This window comes from Homo sapiens, chromosome 15, assembly GCF_000001405.40.
Source record: "Homo sapiens chromosome 15, GRCh38.p14 Primary Assembly".
NCBI classification, from domain to species: Eukaryota; Metazoa; Chordata; class Mammalia; order Primates; family Hominidae; genus Homo; species Homo sapiens.
In genome coordinates this window covers 43,473,453-43,487,394 of record NC_000015.10, presented here as the reverse complement: position 1 = coordinate 43,487,394, position 13,942 = coordinate 43,473,453, and the positions used below count along the sequence as shown (strand labels likewise).

The 13,942-nt window shown below is 42.4% G+C and overlaps 1 protein-coding gene across 11 annotated transcripts in view, besides 1 other annotated feature; it reads left to right on the top strand.

The window, feature by feature from the left end:
- TP53BP1 (tumor protein p53 binding protein 1) overlaps positions 1-13,942 on the top strand; it is a 107,580-nt gene that overhangs the window by 23,246 nt on the left and 70,392 nt on the right. For all 11 annotated transcript variants that reach the window (XR_007064488.1, NM_005657.4, NM_001411050.1 and 8 more), the window contains 6 exons: positions 6,373-6,500; positions 7,378-7,536; positions 7,869-7,998; positions 9,636-9,802; positions 11,701-11,830; positions 12,628-12,722. Coding sequence is in view for 9 of the 11 variants with exons in the window: in NM_005657.4 (NP_005648.1) it covers positions 6,373-6,500; positions 7,378-7,536; positions 7,869-7,998; positions 9,636-9,802; positions 11,701-11,830; positions 12,628-12,722 (809 nt within the window). In the remaining 2 variants the exon portion in view is untranslated. The remainder of the gene's footprint in view (positions 1-6,372; positions 6,501-7,377; positions 7,537-7,868; positions 7,999-9,635; positions 9,803-11,700; positions 11,831-12,627; positions 12,723-13,942) is intronic.
- Positions 9,950-10,191: a silencer, noted in NCBI's record as "fragment chr15:43769402-43769643 (GRCh37/hg19 assembly coordinates)". NCBI's record gives its function as "represses an EF-1alpha promoter that drives an FKBP-Casp9 reporter gene in an ReSE screen in K562 erythroleukemia cells {active_cell/tissue: K562}" and the evidence as "EXISTENCE:reporter gene assay evidence [ECO:0000049][PMID:32094911]".

The following is a 13,942-nucleotide window of genomic DNA, read 5'->3' as shown; positions in this document are numbered from 1 at the left end:
TTTCTAGAGTGGCCGTACTGTTTTATAGTCCCACCAGCAATGTATGAGTGATCTAATTTTTTTTCATCCTTACTGGCATTTGGTGTTTTCAGTATTTTTTATTTTAGCCATTACAAGTCTGTAGTGATACCTCATTGTTGTTTCAGTTTGCATTTCCCTAATGGCTAATGATGGTGAGGATTTTTTCATGTGCTTACTTGCTGCCTGTCATTTTCTTCAGGGAAATGTCTTTTCATATCTTTTGTCCATTTTCTAATTGGATTGTCTTTTTACTATTGTGTTTTGAGAGTTCTTTATATATTCTAGATACTAGTCTTTTGTAGAATATGTATTTTGCAAATATTTTCTCCCACTCTATCCTTTCTTTCTCTTCATAGGGTTTTTCACGGAGCAATTTTTAATTTTGGTGAGAGCTGTTAAATATTTTTAACAGAATAATATAAGTCATTTACTTTAAAAAGGGCTTATAGGCCGGGTGCAGTGGCTCAGGCCTATAATTTCAGCACTTTGGGAGGCCAAGGCGGGTGGATCACTTGAGCTCAGGAGTTTGAGACCAGCCTGGGCAGTATGGTGAAATCCCGTCTTTACCAAAAATACAAAAAAATTAGCTGGGCATGGTGGCACACATCTGTGGTTCCAGCTACTCAGGAGGCTGAGGTGGGAGGATCGCTTAAGCCTGGGAAGCAGAGGTTGCAGCGAGCCGTGATTGCACCGCTGCACTCTAGCCTGGGTGGCAGAGTGAGACCCTGCCTCAAAAACAAATAAATAAATAATAGTAAAAAGGGCTTATAATGAAAAGCAGAGAGTCCTTCCTCACCCTTGCTCCCTTTTCACAAAGGCAACTCTCTTTAACTGTTTATGGTTTTACTTCTTTGGGAGGTTATCTTCCTACCTCTAATACTATTGTAAAACTATAAATGTGTTTTATATGTAAAGTAATACAATTGAGTTCTGATAATGAAAGATGGGGTAACTCAGCAACACCCTCCCAATTTTTGTTTATTTGTTTGTTTTATTTTGAGACCGAGTTTCGCTCTTGTTGCCCAGGCAGAGTGCAATGGCATGATCTTGGCTCACGGCAACCTCCGCCTCCTGGGTTCAAGCGATTCTCCTGCCTCAGCCTCCCAAGTAGCTGGGATTACAGGCATGTGCCACCATGCCCGGCTAATTTTGTATTTTTAGTGGAGATAGGGTTTCTCCATGTTCGTCAGGCTGGTCTTGAACTCCCGACCTCAGGTGATCCACCCCCCTCAGCCTCCCAAACTGCTGGGATTACGGGCGTGAGGCACCTCCGCGGCCCTCCCAATTTTTTTTTTGTTTGTTTTCACCCTCTCAATTTTTGATGGTAATTATTTTAATTCTTCTGGCTCCGTTTACACTTCTAAATAATATATTTAAACCTTTGTTTTCTCTTTCCATCAACTTTAGACAGTGGAGAAAAGTTTAACTAAAGTACTGTTTTTTGTCTGTAATCTGAATTATTTCATGCTTTTTCTGATTTGTCTAATCATTCTACAAATTTTTTTGAGTATTTTCTTTTTTCTTTTTTGAAACGGAGTCTTGCTTTGTTGCCCAGGCTGGAGCGCAGTGGCACCACCATCTTGGCTCACTGCAACTTCCACCTCCTGAGTTCAAGCGATCCTTGTCCCTCAGCCTCCTGAGTAGCTGGGATTACAGGCAAGTGCCACCATGCCTGGCTAATTTTTGTATTTTTAGTAGAGACAGGGTTTCACCTTGTTGGCCAGGCTGGTCTTGAACTCCTGACCTCAAGTGATCTGCCCATCTCGGCCTCCCAAAGTACTTTCTTTTTTTTTTTTTGAGACGGCGTCTCGCTCTGTTGCCCAGGCTGGAGTGCAGTGGCACGATCTCGGCTCACTGCAAGCTCCGCCTCCTGGGTTCACGTCATTCTCCTGCCTCAGCCTCCCAAGTAGCTGGGACTACAGGCACCTGCTACCACGCCTGGCTAATTTTTTGTATTTTTAGTGGAGATGGGGTTTCACCATGTTAGCCAGGATGGTCTTGATCTCCTGACCTCGTGATCCGCCCGCCTCAGCCTCCCAAAGTGCTGGGATTACAGGCATGCGCCACCGTGCCCGGCCAAAGTACCTTCTATTGAGTATTTTCTGTGTGCCAGGTGTTCTTGGATTTTGGGGATACAAAGTGATCAGAAGAAATAAAAATCCTAGACCTTAATGTAGCTTACATTCTTGTGTAGGGTATAGCAATATATGATAAATAAGTAAAATATGTAGTATGTTAGATGCTGATAAGGGCTGAAGAGATAAATATAGCAGGGAAGGGGAGAGGAAGCAACAAAGTGGTTGCAAGTTTACATAGGGTGTCTAGGGAGTGCTTCATTGATAGGACATTTGATTAAAAATCTAAGTGAGGCCGAGGCAGGAGGATCTCTTGAGCCCAGGAGTTTGAGAGCAGCCTGGACAACATAGTGAGACCCTGTCTCTACAAAAAATACACAGTAAGCCAGGCATGGTAGTGTGCGCCTGTGATCCCAGCTACATGGGAGGCTGAGGTGGGAGGATCGCTTGAGCCTGGGAGGTTGAGACTGCAGTGAGCCATGATTGCTTCACTGCACTCTAGCTTGTGTAACAGAGTGAGACCATATCTTAAAAAAAAAAAACAAAAAACAAGTAAGTGTGTATTTGCTGTTATCTGGGATAAGTGTAATCCATGCATGGAGAATGGCAAGTTCAAAGACCCTGAGGCATGAGCGTCCCTGGAATATTTGAGAAATAGCAGGGAGGTTAGTGTGGCTGTAGTGGAGTGACTAAGAGAAGTGAGAGAAGAGGTCAGAGAAGTCAGAAGGGAACCAGATTATGTAAGGCATTGTGAGGAATTTGGCTCTTATTTTTAGTGAGATAGGAAGACATTTAAGGGTTTTGAGCAGGGGAAGGACATGATCTGATTTAGATTTTTAACAGAGTCACTCTGGCTGCTTGATTAAGAATAGACTGAAAGCAGGACAAGGCTAGAGGCAGGAAGACCAACAAGGAAACTATTGACATAATTTAGCAAAAGGTGATAGTGGCTGGACCAGGATTGAAGCAGATGAAGAATGGTGAGATTCTGAGTATTTGAAAAGGGGATTCAAAGACAGATCAGATGTGGAGTGTGAGAGACAAGAAGGAAGTAATAATTATTCCAGGTTTGTTTTGCTTCAAGTAGCTGGGACTACAGATGTATGCCACCGTGCCTGGCAGATTCCAAGTTTTTGATTTGAGCAACTAGAGTAATGGAATGACAGTTAAGATAGAGAAGACTGCAGGAGGGGAAGTTCAGTTTTAAACATATGAAACATTGTGCTATCTTTTCAACAACCAGCTGGATGTGTTGAGGAGGTAATTGGACAAGGAGGCCTGGAGCTCAGAGGGAAAAGTCTAGGCCAGAGATTTAAATTGCAGACTCATAAGCAGATAGGTAGTATTCTAAACCATGAGTCTGGATGAGGTCATTAAGTGGGTGAATGTAGCTAGAAAAGAGGTCCAAGGACTCACGGAGCCTACCAGCATTTAGAGATCAGGGACATGAGGTAAAAACACCAAAAGAAACTAAGAAGAGCTCAAAGTGTGTTGTTTTGTGCTGTCGTCCTTCATTGCTTCTTTTCTACCATTTGCAATATTTGCTCTTGAACTTTCTTTCCCTCTGTTTCCCAAAGTCATTTATCTGGTCCTTCCAGTTATATAGATAATGTTCTATTTTGCTTTTGTAAAAATCTTTACTTAGTCTTCTTTCACTTGCTTGGGTCACGGTTCCCAACTTTGCAAATTTATATTTTCACCTCTTTTGTGTTTATTACAGTTACGCTTAATGCTCTTTTTATGAAATATTAGTTGTGTAGAAAGTTGCAAGGAAGCAAAGATGTCATCTGTAATCCTGCCACCCAGAGGCTAATTGCTGTAAACATTTTGGCATCTTTTCTCTCTTTTTTTGTTCATTTGATTTATATGGTTGACATCATGTGGAAAGTAAAAGTGTATGTTTGCTGATGTTTTGCTTAAAAACATGAAAATTTTTCTCATGACAATTAAAACTTAACATATTCCCCAAGTTTTTTATTTTAAAAGTTTAAGCCCACAGAAGAAATGAAAGAGTATACATTTGTTCTGTGTGTGTGTGTGTGTGTGTGTGTGTGTGTGTGTGTGTTCTGTACTTTTTTGGGGAGGATTAATTGTTTAAGTTGCAGACATCAGATTTTTCCTTAATATAATGTCCCCTTAAATACTTCAGCATTCATCCCCTAAGAATAAGTACATTATTCTATATAATCATAGTACCGTTATCACACTTAAAGTAATAATTCCATAATATTTAAGTATACAGTTCAGATTTTCCCAGTTGTCTCAAAGATGTCTTTTGTCTTGTTTTATTGATTGGTTGGTTGATAGCATCTAAGATCCAATTCAGGTTCACATTTTGTATTTGATTGTTTCACACTTTTCTTTTTTTGGAGACAGACTCTTTTTCTGTTGCCCAGGCTGGAGTGCAGTGGGGCAGTCTCGGCTTACTGCAACCTCCACCTCCTGGGTTCAAGCGATTCTCCTGCTTCAGCCTCCCAAGTAGCTGGGACTACAGGCACATGACACCACACTGGTTAAATTTTTTTTTTTTTGAGACGGAGTCTCGCCATGTCTCCCAGGCTGGAGTGCAGTAGCGTGATCTTGGCTCACTGCAACCTCCGATTCCCAGGTTCAAGCAATTCTCCTGCCTCAGCCTCCCCAGTAGCTGGGACTACAGGTGCGTGCCACCACGCCCGGCTAATTTTTTGTATTTTTAGTAGAGACAGGGTTTCACCTTGTTCGCCGGGATGGTCTCGATCTCCTGACCTTGTGATCCGCCTGTTTCGGCCTCCCAAAGTGCTGGGATTACAGGCATGAGCCACCGCGCCCAGCCTAATTTTTGTATTTTTAGTAGAGACGGGGTTGCACCATGTTGGCCGTGCTGGTTTTGAACTAACCTTAAATGATCCGCCCACTTCGGCCTCCCGAAGTGCTGGGATTACAGGGATAAGCCCCTGCGCCTGGCCTTGTTTCAAACATTTTTAACGGTGATATATGTTATTAATAGATTGTGAAATTATGTAATCATTTCCTTAATGCTGAATTTATAGGTTGTTTCTTGTTGTTGTTGTTGTTGTTGTTGTTGTTTTTTGAGGTGGAGTCTCGCTCTGTCGCCCAGGCTGGAGTGCAGTGGCGCGATCTCGGCTCACTGCAAGCTCTGCCTCCCGGGTTCACGCCATTCTACTGCCTCAGCCTCCTGAGTAGCTGGGACTACAGGCACCTGCCACCACGCCCAGCTAATTTTTTTGTATTTTTTAGTAGAGATGGGGTTTCACCATGTTAGCCAGGATGGTCTCGATCTCCTGATCTCGTGATGCGCCCTCCTTGGCCTCCCAAAGTGCTGGGATTACAGGCGTGAGCCACCGTGCCTGGTCGGTGTTAACTTATTTTAAAAATATATGGAGTTTGCTTGTGCCCAGTAGTTCAAGGCTGCAGTAAGCTGTGATCGTGCTACTGCACTTTAGCCTGGGAGACAGACTCTGTCTCTCTCTTTTTTTTTTTTTTTTGAGACAGAGTCTCGCTCTGTCACCAGGCTGCAGTGCAGTGGCGCGATCTCGGCTCACTGCAACCTCCGCCTCCTGGGTTCGAGCAATTTTCCTGCCTCAGCCTCCTGAGTAGATGGGACTACAGGCGCATGCCACCACACCCAGCTAATTTTTATATTTTTAGTAGAGACGGGGTTTCACCATGTTAGCCAGGATGGTCTCGATCTCTTGACCTCGTGACCTGCCTGCCTCTGCCTCCCAAAGTGCTGGGATTACAGGTGTGAGCCACTGTGCCCGGCCCAGACTCTGTCTCTTAAAAAAAAAATAAGTAAAAAATAAAAAGTGTGTGTGTGTGTGTGTGTGTGTGTGTGTGTATTTATATACATATATAAGCTCCTTACCTGAATTTTGTTTGGACTCTGTGGTTCTATATATGTATTTTAAGATTTTTTACTAAAATACTTCTGTGAACTTTTAAAAAGTTTTTTGAGCCCTTTCTGTGCTCATCCAATGCATATCTTCTCTTGTCACTTGTCAGTAATTCTCCTGAATGCAAGATTTTTCTGCCTCTTCTCAAAAATATAAAATTCGAGTATGTTGGTGCCTTATTTTTTCTTTACTTAATTCTGTGTAGGATGTTGAATTGTTAATCTTTTAGGTGCTTTTTGTAGAAAGAAGCACTATAAAGGTGAGGTATTTTACTTTTTCAAGTTTGGCTAAGAGATGGTTGGTATGTGTTGGGGGTCAGAGTGCTCTGATTAAAGTGTCCCAAACTATCTGGGAACACATGATTATATCCTTCTGCTGTGTAGTGTTCTGGGAATGTCAGTGGAATCTGCTCCTGCTGTGGAGGAAGAGAAGGGAGAAGAGTTGGAACAGAAGGAGAAAGAGAAGGAAGAAGATACTTCAGGCAATACTACACATTCCCTTGGTGCTGAAGGTAGCCTTGTGCTTTTTTCAGAATAATAGACTGTTCTAACTTCCCTTTAACATGATTGTGCAGATGTCTAAATTTCTCCTCTTTATTAGGTTGCAGATTTCTCATAATTAAATTGAGAGTCATTAAGAAATTTGCTAGTAATTTAAAATGTTCCACCTGATTTGGTATTCAGGAATTTGTAGTTCATTGGTTAGCCCCTTTCTGCATATTGAGTTTTCTTCCTCTTGTATTCATTTGTTTTTCAAATATTTTTGTAATGTGTACTTTGTGGGGTGTAAGTACAGTCTGAATTGCTGTGACTGTGGGTGTAGTTTATGATGTACCTTTAGAAAGCAGACGTAGTCTCCTTATAAGATTTTATAGTATGAAGTATTTTTACTTTATTACACATTTTCCCCCTTCATCTTTAATGCACTTATTTTTTTTAAATTTATTTTTTATTTTTTTGCGACGGAGTCTTGCTCTGTTGCCCAGGTTAGAGTGCAGTGGCGCAATCTTGGCTCACTGCAAGCTCCGCCTCCTGGGTTCAAGCCATTCTTGTGCTTCAGCCTCCCGAGTAGCCAGGATTACATGTGTGCGCCACCACACCTGGCTAATTTTTGTATTTTTAGTAGAGATGGGGTTTCACCATGTTGGCCAGGCTGGTCTTGACCGCCTGACCTCAAGTGATTCACCTACCTTGGCCTCCCAAATGCCGGGATTATAGGTGTGAGCCACCGTGCTCGGCCACATTTATTTTTTATTTTTGAAAAATTTGGGGGGTGCACAGGGCTTTGATGTGAAGGACTTAACGGGACCCTCCTTTGCTGAGGACAGCAGCTTGTACATTGCATAATGTTGTGGGATGATACCTAATTTCTTGGCATTTTGTTCCTAGATACTGCCTCATCACAGTTGGGTTTTGGGGTTCTGGAACTCTCCCAGAGCCAGGATGTTGAGGAAAATACTGTGCCATATGAAGTGGACAAAGAGCAGCTACAATCAGTAACCACCAACTCTGGTTATACCAGGCTGTCTGATGTGGATGCTAATACTGGTATGAAACATGTTTTCTGGCATTTGGAGTTGTTGTGTTTTCTCCCATATTAGAGGTAGTTATTTTTTCTTTGATAAGTTTTGCAGCTATCCAAATTAATATAATCTAAGTAATTTAGTAAGGTTGAAGAGTTTTCTGGTAAATACTTGTCAATTGTTGGTTTGTGGGCTGAGGTTTTAAGTTATTGGTTACTTTCCTTTATAGACTGATGCCTGTATATATTTTAAATTGGACTTCTGTTAAAATCTTTGCTTTTTAAAAAACATCTGGGACTGTATCTAGTATTTTGAAAACTTAATTATCTCCTTCCTGTCATTTTATAAAACTCTCAGCAATTAAGCATGAAGAACAGTCCAACGAAGATATCCCCATAGCAGAACAGTCCAGCAAGGACATCCCTGTGACAGCACAGCCCAGTAAGGATGTACATGTTGTAAAAGAGCAAAATCCACCACCTGCAAGGTAAGCCGAACTTTCTAAAAAGGATTTACGAGTTTTGCTGTAGGGTTATACTAATGTCATTTTACCAGATGAAAACATTTTTAGAAATTGTTGATTTTTAAATTATTTTCCCCTTGTACTGGGCATACTTGTGGTCCATTGGAAACGTTGATTATTTATGAAGTCTCAAGAATTGTTTTTTGTCTGTCTGTCTGTCTGTCTGTTTGAAACAAAGTCTCACTATGTTGCCCTGGGCTCATGTGATTCTCTGCCCCAGCCTCCCAAGTACTGGGGCCACACTTGACTACTAATCTTATCTTTAGGCATTCTACAAAGACCTTTTTTTGTTGATTAAAAAAATTTTTTTGTTGTAGAAATGGAGTCTCGCTATGTTGCTCAAGCTGGTCTCGAACTCCTGGGCTCAAGTAATCCTCCTGCCTCAGCTTCCCAAAGTGCTGGGATTATAGGCGTGAGCCACTCTGCCTAGCCTGCAATGATGTTTTAAGGCTGCTCTAACTATAAGCATGACTCCGTAATCTTTGGTTGCCACTCCTCCTTTGTGATCTTTGTCTACAGAGACACTGCTTGTCTGTGGGAGGTCTTCTTAGCCTCTCTGGTGTTATGAAGAGTAACATGACTATTTTATTTGAAAGCCTACTGTTTCTATACTTGAGGAGCACCCAGATTGCTTTGGGTTCTTAGGTATCCTGCATCTGGTATTTTATGGTATCGATAGATGTAGGGATTTTCTCAGGTTCTTTAGGCTCTTAACTTGGTAGGAATTGGGGAATGTGCCTCTGCTTCATCTCTCGTGATTTTTATAACCAAAGCTTCATTACCTCTGGCCAGTAAGTGAAGTTTGAATATGGCAGAAGAAAACTGGGATGCTTCCAGTTTGGGATAGGGGATAAATAAACAGTATTGTTTTGTTATTTCCTTCAATGGAAAGAGTGGGGAGAGAGTGTCCTAAGCAAAGTTGAATATCAAGAGAAATTGTCTTTCTAATGTAAAACACTCAGCATAACAGTGACTTTTTAGGCTTTTCTTTTAGATGCTGCCTTCCATCTAGTTATGCTATTCTGTTTACCCTGGGGAGTGGTAGAACAGGTGAACCTCATAAGTCTCTGGAAAGGGGCCAGGGATGAATGTCTTATACATGTTAGTATTGATCTGAAGGAGAATTGGTTTGGGGTTTGGGTACATCAAATGGAAAAGGTCAGCAGAAGATGTGTGTGGCACTAGTAAGGAGGATAATTGACATCAAATGCTTTCCATGGAATGTCATGGTTTGGACTGTTCTCCTTACTGGCATCATTGGGGTCTGGATCAGAATTCTTTATACAGGTCTAGATAACATTATATGTAACAAAAATTCCCCAAGTTACTCATCAGAAATCTTAGAAAGCATGAAGCACAGTATTGAGCAGAGTTGAAGACAGGTATTGGCTGTGAGAGAGAGTGAGACAGGTTTTAAAATGGGCTGAGGACTTTTATCACTATAAAGAGTAGTTTATTTCCTTTTTAATATATAATTATGTAAATTAGAGCCACTGGAATTTTTGAAATTATTAAAGAAAAACACACAAAACAGGAAAAGCTTTTTATTTAAAAACATTTGAACTTAGGAACTTTTTCTCCTGGTGATATGAATTTCCTAGGTCAGAGGACATGCCTTTTAGCCCCAAAGCATCTGTTGCTGCTATGGAAGCAAAAGAACAGTTGTCTGCACAAGAACTTATGGAAAGTGGACTGCAGATTCAGAAGTCACCAGAGCCTGAGGTTTTGTCAACTCAGGAAGACTTGTTTGACCAGAGCAATAAAACAGGTACCAAGAGTGATTTGTCGTTACAGCTCTTCTCCAAAGATCTAAACTTTTACTTTAGTTCTGAGGCTACTGGTTAAGTTACAAAGCATTTTATAGGTTTGCAGACTTGTTTGTGATATGGAAGGAAAACGTGTTTCTAGTAATTAGTGAGAAGGGCTTTTTGGGAATAATTTCCATTTAATATTTTGACATAATTTTCTCTCTTTTGGAAATGAGATGGTGAAGAATAGCTAATACAGTAAATTTAGTATTATGGATACTAGCCATTTTCTTTTTTTCTTTTTTTTTTTTTTGAGATGGAGTCTCACTCTGTCACCCAGGCTGGAGTGCAGTGGCGCAATCTCGGCTCACTGCAAGCTCCGCCTCCCGGGATCATGCCATTCTCCTGCCTCAGCCTCCCTAGTAGCTGGGACTACAGGCACCCGCCACCATGCTTGGCTAATTTTTTGTATTTTTAGTAGAGATGGGGTTTCACTGTGTTAGCCATGATGGTCTTGATCTCCTGACCTTGTGATCCGCCTGCCTTGGCCTCCCACAGTGCTGGGCTTACAGGCATGAGTCACCACACCTGGCTGCCATTTTCTGTTACATGGCTACTATGTCTTCAAATCTTCAATATGATATTAAGCCTAGGTTTTTCATATTCATCTGGGTAACAGTTTACTAACTTAATCTGTTTATTAGTTAATCTGACACAGATAGGAATTTAAAATCTAGCGGAAAGGACATAAAACTTAAAAGGATATAATTTGTTTCACACCTCTTTAACCTCCACCAATCTTTCATTCCACAGCCTCAGAGAGCTAGAAAGCTTGAGTTAATTACCAGCAAAACATATTATGTTGGTTGTAAGGCGGGAAGGGAAGAAGGCTATCTTCCTTTGCTATGCTGTGATACAGGTTGCTGTGCAAGACATTCAGAGGGTCACCGAGGAACCTTTGTTGGTCTCTTACTAAAGTTGTAAGGTTTTATTTAAGAAATTCTTTTACACTGGGATTAATATAGTTGATACTCCATCTATTGCTAAGGGGAAGGGACCAACAAGAGACTCTTCATAGTATAAAACAGTAATGGCTGCTCATAAATCCTTTTACTCCTTTGAGCAGGCCCAAATCTTGAAAACTGCTGCATTTATAACATCAAGTGTCATGTGCATTTTTTTGACTTCTCCCATCTGTATCATGGCATGAGCTTGACTTCACCTAAGGTAGACGTTGGAATAAAAGGCTCATTTGCTGTTTTTTAATAGAAGCATCACAAGAAAGAAGAGCAGCTAAGCAGAAGTATAAGGATTCTGGCTTTTATTTTATTTATTTATTTATTTTTTTGAGACGGAGTCTCCCTCTGTTGCCCAGGCTGGAGTGCAGTGGTGCAATCTCAGCTCACTGCAACCTCTGCCTAGCAGGTTCAAGTGATGCTCCTGCCTTAGCCTTCCAAGTAGCTGGGATTACAGGCGCATACCACCACGCCCAGCTAATTTTTGTATTTTTAGTAGAGATGAGGTTTCACCATGTTGGTCTGGCTAGTCTTGAACTCCTGACCTCAGATGATCCACCCGCCTCAGCCTCCCAAAGTGCTAGGATTACAGGTGTGAGCCACTGCGCCCATCCAGGATTCTGGCTTTTAATCTCCAAGCTTAGATCATGACAGAAAGGACTAAGGAACTCTTCATCAGTTCTTTATTCAAGAAGCCCATTGCGGGGGTGGTTAATGTTCACTCAAGATTTGTGCTATTGTAGTAGTCCATTCGTTGTACTATAATTAGAAAACAATTTCTGCCCTTTTGGAAATATGGAAATATGTTGGAAATATGGATATTACTCTTTGCAGTACTGAATGGTTTTTGGCAGCTCAGTAGTGTCAATCTGAGAAGTGCAACTGGAATTTCTTTTTTTCAGTATCTTCTGATGGTTGCTCTACTCCTTCAAGGGAGGAAGGTGGGTGTTCTTTGGCTTCCACTCCTGCCACCACTCTGCATCTCCTGCAGCTCTCTGGTCAGAGGTCCCTTGTTCAGGACAGTCTTTCCACGTAAGTAAGCCTAAAATAGCTTATGCCAAGGCAGTATGTGCCTGAGAGTCTTAGGCTAAGGCTGAAAGAGGCTAAACTTATCTGCTAGTCTAGAATTCTTTTTGAAACCAAATGGTAGAACCTATGCATTAGAGCTTTGGGGATGAAGAACTGTTGAAGGCAGATAAATCTGTTGTCCCATTTGAAAATTTTATAATAGTAGCCCAAACGTTTCACTAAGAAAGAAAAGGCGCAGTTATTTAGAAAATGTTACACATCCAAAACAAGCATTCTGCTCCTCTGTTTTACTTGCAATTCTTCTCATTTAATAGCAGAGGGTGGAGAATAGGTTGTTAAGTTGACAGTAGTTGGATTTCTTTATGTTAGGGCAAAGAGGTTCGCTTGTTGGTTTTTTTTGTTTAGTTTTAGTTTTCTGATGAAAATGTTCATGGTCTGACTATTATTAGGCAAAAAAATGGAATAATTTTTTTTATGTCTCAAATCTGCAAATGAATTTATTTCCTAGCACTGCTCATTTTGCTTTTAAATCATGATGTCCTTGTGTCTGATCATTCACTTTGCCCTTACTCTCTTTTTGAAAAAGTTCTTATTTTACAACAGAAATGTCTGGTGTGGGAAATAGTTATTGAAGTATTTTTGGTTCTTCCACCAGCCTCAGGTTGCTGTTGGGGAAAAGTGCTGATAAGTATTTATCTGAATGCCTTAGATATTTTTTCCTGTTAAAAAGTAAAAGCAAATACAGAAATGCAAAACTGTGGCTATGGTAAAATAACCTGTGATTCTCTCTTTATATAAAGGAATTCTTCAGATCTTGTTGCTCCTTCTCCTGATGCTTTCCGATCTACTCCTTTTATCGTTCCTAGCAGTCCCACAGAGCAAGAAGGGAGACAAGGTGAGCTCTCTTGATCTGTCTGTTGATCTCAGATTAGAAGAGGAGCAACACTTTTTCTGCCTTGCAAAATGTACTACTTCTTTGTACTTTAGAATGCTTGTGACCTACACAATTCGGTAGGACTCATGTTTGTCTAACCTTTAGGGATGTGACCTACTGTAAAGTGCTGTCCTCAGTTCTTTGCTTTTCCTTCCTTCCTTTTTTTTTTTTTTTTTTTGTCTAACCCCATTGAGAGGTGACAGCGTGCTGGCAGTCCTCACAGCCCTCGCTCGCTCTCGGCGCCTCCTCTGCCTGGGCTCCCACTTTGGCGGCACTTGAGGAGCCCTTCAGCCCACCGCTGCACTGTGGGATCCCCTTTCTGGGCTGGCCAAGGCTGGAGCCCGCTCCCTCAGCTTGCAGGGAGGCGTGCAGGGAGAGGTGCGAGCAGCAACCGGGGCTGTGCGCGGCGCTTGCGGGCCAGCTGGAGTTCCTGGTGGGTGTGGGCTTGGCGGGTCCTGCACTCGGAGCAGCCGGCCGGCCCTGCCGGCCCCCCGGGCAATGAGGGGCTTAGCACCCGGGCCAGCGGCTATGGAGGGTGTACTGGGTCCCCCAGCAGTGCTAGCCCACCGGCGCTGCGCTTGATTTCTCGCCGGGCCTTACTTAGCTGCCTTCCAGTGGGGCAGGACTCGGGACCTGCAGCCCGCCATGCCTGAGCCTTCCACCCCCTCCGTGGGCTCCTGTGTGGCTGAGCCTCCCTGATGAGCACTGCCCCCTGCTCCACGGCACCTAGTCCCATCGACCACCCAAAGGGCTGAGGAGTGCAGGAGCACGGCACAGGACTGGTAGGCAGCTCCACCTGCAGCCCCCGTGCGAGATCCACTGGGTGAAGCCAGCTGGGCTGCTGAGTCTGGTGAGGACGTGGAGAACCTTTATGTCTAGCTCAGGGATTGTAAATACACCAATCGGCACTCTGTATCTAGCTCAGGGTTTGTAAACACACCAGTCAGCACCCTGTGTCTAGCTCTGAGTTTGTGAATGCACCAATCCACACTCTGTATCTGGCTGCTCTGGTGGGACGTGGAGAACCTTTATGTCTAGCTCAGGGATTGTAAATACACCAATCGGCACTCTGTTTCTAGCTCAAGGTTTGTAAACACACCAATCAGCACCCTGTGTCTAGCTCAGGGTTTGTGAATGTACCAATGGACACTCTGTATCTAGCTACTCTGGTGGGGCCTTGG